This window comes from Homo sapiens, chromosome 20, assembly GCF_000001405.40.
Source record: "Homo sapiens chromosome 20, GRCh38.p14 Primary Assembly".
NCBI classification, from domain to species: Eukaryota; Metazoa; Chordata; class Mammalia; order Primates; family Hominidae; genus Homo; species Homo sapiens.
In genome coordinates this window covers 46149160-46153958 of record NC_000020.11, presented here as the reverse complement: position 1 = coordinate 46153958, position 4799 = coordinate 46149160, and the positions used below count along the sequence as shown (strand labels likewise).

The 4799-nt window shown below is 53.6% G+C and overlaps 1 annotated feature.

The window, feature by feature from the left end:
- Nucleotides 506–1047: an enhancer, noted in NCBI's record as "H3K4me1 hESC enhancer chr20:44781551-44782092 (GRCh37/hg19 assembly coordinates)". NCBI's record gives its function as "activates a minimal SCP1, AML or CMV promoter by ChIP-STARR-seq in primed H9 embryonic stem cells {active_cell/tissue: H9 hESC(primed)}" and the evidence as "EXISTENCE:reporter gene assay evidence [ECO:0000049][PMID:30033119]".

Here is a 4799-nt window from a genome sequence, read left to right as displayed (position 1 = left end):
CTCAGTTTCCCCATCTGTCATAATGCCTCCCTCCCCAAGTTGTTCTGAGAATTAAATGAGATAACGTAAGCATAATGCTCCCTAGCCGTAAGCTTCATTTATTGAGCACTTACTGTACGTCAGGAACGATTCCAAATACCATATTGAACCCTTATAACCGTTTTAAGTGGATATCAGTACTTTAATGGATGAGAAAAGTGAGAGTTGACCACCTCGTTACCCCAGCATCCAGGTTTTAAAGCAGGCAGCCAGGCTGAGCTCAGCCTCCAATCAAAAGCTGGTCAACCACCTTAGCTTTCTTTGGGGTAGGCAGCGAGGCTCTTTCCCTTGCATTTCAGAGTTAGAGCCCTACTTACTGCCTTCTCCCACCCCTACGTGTAGCCAGGGAAACCAAGGCCCAGAAACGAAGAGCATGAAGAGCGTCGTGCCAGCGTCCCGCTGCGCGAGCCTGGGCTGGAACCCGGGTTCTGCGCCGCCTCCGCGCTCCCTTGCTGCGCTCACCTCTCCATGGGCCGGATAATTAGCGGTGGCTGATTAGCAATTATTGCGGCCCCCCGCGGGGCAGAGGAGGAAGCCCGCCTCTGGGCTGGGCCTCGGGGTGGGGGACAGGGCGATGAGGCACGGAGAGCCCCTGTCTTCCCCTCAGTCCCTGGCCCGCCCGCCGGTCCTGGACAAGGCAGGCTGCAGAGGGCAGTACGGCGAGGGCCCAGGGACACGCCAGGAACCCAGGGCCAGGGCAAACGCACTTTAATCCAAAATCAGGAAACTGAGGCTGAGTTGAGGGGGCCTCTGGGGTGAGATGGCCTGACTTCTAATCCGGGCTCTGCCATTAAATCTGGCTCCGTGGCCTTGGGAGTTACTAATCCTCTCTGAGCCTCAGTTTCTTCACCCATAAAATGGGAAGATCATAATAGTTCCTTCCAGACCAAGCACTACAGTTCACACCTGTAATCCTAGGGCTTTGGGAGGCCTAGGCAGGAGGCTGTCTTGAGGCCAGGAGTTTGAGACCAGCCTGGGCAACATAGCGAGACCCCTGTCTCTAAAAATAAAAATTAGGCAGGCTTGGTGGCATGGGCCTGTAGTCCTAGCTGCTCAGGATACTGAAGCAGGAGGATTGTTTGACCCCAGGAGTTCAAGGCTGCAGTGAGCTACAGTTGCACCACTGCACTCCAGGCCTGGGTGGCAGTGAGACCCTGTCTCAATAATATAATAATAACGATAGTTCCTTCCTCTTTGGGTTGTTATGAGCACAAAATAAGACTCTGCAGGTAGCATGTCTGACAGGACTTAAGTACTCAAGAAGCATTGTTTGGCCAGGGGCGGTGGCTCACGCTTATAATCCCAGCACTTTGGGAGGCCGGGGCAGGCAGATCACTTGAGGTCGGGAGCTCGAGACCAGCCAGGCCAACATGATGAAACCCCATCTCTACTAAAAATACAAAAATTAGCCAGGCATGGTGGCACACGCCTGCAATACCAGCTACTCGGGAGGCTGAGGCACAAGAATTGCTTGAAGTCGGGAGGCAGAGGTTGCAGTGAGCCGACATCATGTGACTGCACTCCCGCCTGGGTGACAGAGTGAGACTCCGTCTCAAAAAAAAAAAAGAAGCATTATTATTATTACCAAAATCCCTGAAAGTGGGGGAAGCCGCTAACTGGCTTTCTAACCTGCGGCTGGATGACCCATGGATGGATGGATGCAAGAGAAGCTCTCCTGTGGGGGCCTAGGAGCAGCTCGAGGCAGCCCTGCTTTCCCCCGCTTTGGGAGCCCCCCAGATCTTGGAGGTGAGTGAGGACAAAACACTGGGTATTGATCTGCTGGCTGTGCCAGGAGTACTGGGTCCTAGGTGAAGTCATTCAGATGAATCCCATCTCCAGGTGAGGAAACAGGCGCAGCCAGCAGGGGGCCTCGCACAGATCAGAAATTGTGCCCTGGGCCCCTCTGACCCCATGACCCCTAGGAGTAGGCAGGGGCCAGGCTGAAGCTCCTTTTTCGTGATGGAAAGTCACTTGGGCCCTAGGGGCCAGTCCCAGGCCCCACCAAGGTCCCACCAAGGTCCCGCCGAGGCCCCACCAAGGTTGGGAACCGGGCTAAATGGAGCAGGGAGGATTGAATGGAGGACGCCAGCCAGGGAATCCTAGAGAGGACACCAGACAAGATTCAATTAAAATGCCAGCCTTGGTGAGTTCCCCATTTTAATTTTCAACAAATTAGCTTATAAAGGGGGGGATGGAAATGAAGATATTAGATTTTTTTTTAGAGCCAAAAGGGAAAATCTTTTGAGGATTATATTCCTTATTTCTTTTTAAAAAATAAAATAAAATCACTCTTAGCCAGAGGATTTGGGGGATTTTCGGGCTCTACCCCCCTTGGAGGTGATTTTCAGGACCTGCCTGTTACGTGCAGGATGGTAACGGCTTTATAACAGAGAGCGCCGTCTCCTGAGCCAGCACGCACTGTGCGCCTTCCTCACCAACCCTCAGGTCAGCATCATTGTACCTGTTTACACGTACCTGAGGCCCAGAGAGATGAAGTGATTTGTCTGAGGTCACACAGCTAGGAAGTGGTAGAGCCCAGTTCCAGCACGCATGTGTTTCCCACTGCAGCCTGGCTCTTGTTCAGCCGAAGACCCTGGTCCAAGCCTCGTCCTCACTCCCTGGTCCCCATCACCCCTCTCCAGGAAACTGCAGTGTTGAGAATGGAGAGACAAATAGACTCCAGCCTGCCTGCTGCATCCTGCAGGACCCGCCGGAGGCCATTAGTATTCCAGAGGCCCCACAGACTTCCTGGCCTTCACCCAAGGTGGGGTAGGCCCCCCCTCCTGGCTTCTCCAGTGATTTCTGACACCACCACCACCACCCCCAATGCAGGAGCTGAGTCTTGGTCTGCCCTTAGGTAACCTAAGCCTGGGATCCAGACCATCCATCTCTGTCTTCTGGCAAAGGCCAGCCCCTGCCCTTTCCCCCAAGTGACTGGCCCTGGCAGCCAGTGCTCTTGGTCTCACCGCAATGTCCTCCACTCCCATACCCCCACCCCATCCTCCTGTCTACTGAAAATAATTCGTTTTGCCAGTGTGGAAATAATACAAGCTTAGATTCAGCAACAGCATACCCTCCCCAGCGTGCCACCTAGGCAACAGCCCCCCACCCCCGCCACCGAACTCCAAATCCCAAGGGCATTCCCAAGCTCTGCTCCAAGACCTGGGGCAGCATCCTGGCAGATACAAAGCTCCCACTCTTCTGGGCTGTGTGCTCTTGGGCAAGTGGCTTAACCTCCTTGTGCCTCCATTTCCTCATCTGCAAAGTGGGTATTATAAAAATCTAGCCTGAAAGGTTGTGGTAAGAGTTCAATGAAAGCACAGACTTGCCAGGCCCTGGTACAACAGAGGATGCTTGGCAAATGTTACCCTTTCCCTCCAAAAACTGGAGGCAAAGGACCTAGTTGGGATGGAACTCTACATGGGAAGAGGTAAGGGAGGGCTGAAAGAATGAGACAAAGCTCCCATGCCAGGCGTAGTGGCTCAAGCCTGTAATCCCAGCACTTTGGGAGGCCGAGGTGGGTGGATCACCTGAGGTCAGGAGTTCAAGACCAGCTGGCCAACATGGTGAAACCCTGTCTCTACTAAAAATAGAAAAATTAGCCAGGTGTGGTGGTGTGCACCTGTAATCCCAGCTTCCCAGGAGGATGAGGCAGGAGGTATCGCTTCAACCGGGGAGGCGGAGGTTGCAGTGGGCCAAGATTGTGCCGCTGCACTCCAGCCTGGGCAACAGAGCGAGACTCCGACTCAAAAAAAAAAAGGGCTTCTGGTACTGGAGTCCATTGAAGCATCGGGGAGCCCAGGGACAGATAAAAATGTCTCCGCCGCCTTCCTGGCCCCGTAGAAAGAGCTTAGAGTCACAGGGCAGGTGCGCAAGGGCAGACCTCAAACTTCCCAGATCAGTGGTGTTGCAGCAGCTTCCCTGCACAAGGACCGGAGCCTGGGACTGGAGGTGCCAGATCCTCAAGGCTTGGTATGAGCTTGTTGAGGGGGTAACTCTCAGATGCTGCTGGTAGCTAGAGGGCTGGAGTCTAGCTTGGGCAGCTAACTGAATCTGGGGTTATGCCAGATCTGTGTGTGAGCAGAGGTTTGGGGGATGTCTGCACTAGAGAATGAACCCTGAATTTGGGGCTGGCTCTTGTAAAGCTCCAACCTCAAGATTCGGCAGATCTATTAGGTGGGTGCAAAAGTGAATGTGGTTGTTGCCATTCCTTCCAATGGCAAAAATCGCATGGATGCTGTGAAAGCTGAGATGGACCGCAAGCCCGTCTATGAGCCCACGCCTGCGAGAGATCAGAATTTGAGGTAAGCCATGAATTTGGAGCGCCCTCACAGTGAACCTCAAAATCTTGGAGTATCTGTGAGCTTATGTACGGGGGTCATCTGAATCTGGATGTGAACTCACATCCAAGGAATGGGGTCTGTTTGGGAACCCAGTTTATGGGGGCCACACCAGTCCTAGAGGTGTGTTTGGGAAGGACGCGGGCCTCTCAGGGCAGTAAGGAGTGACTCTATGGCAGATCCCGAGCAGCTAGTGAAGACCCAGTTCCCCATCGTTTTGATCATCCTGCACCCCTCTTTCAATGCACACAGTCCTCATAACCTTGGTCTCACCACTGCCCACCATCCTGTCCTCCCACCCCCAGGTCTACTCTGAATTGCTACCTCTCAGGGAATTACAGTTGCTGAACTCCAAGTCTCAGGTGCGCTCACATTCCTTCCCTGGGGCAAGAAGAGTCAAGGGATGAGGGGAGAAAGAGC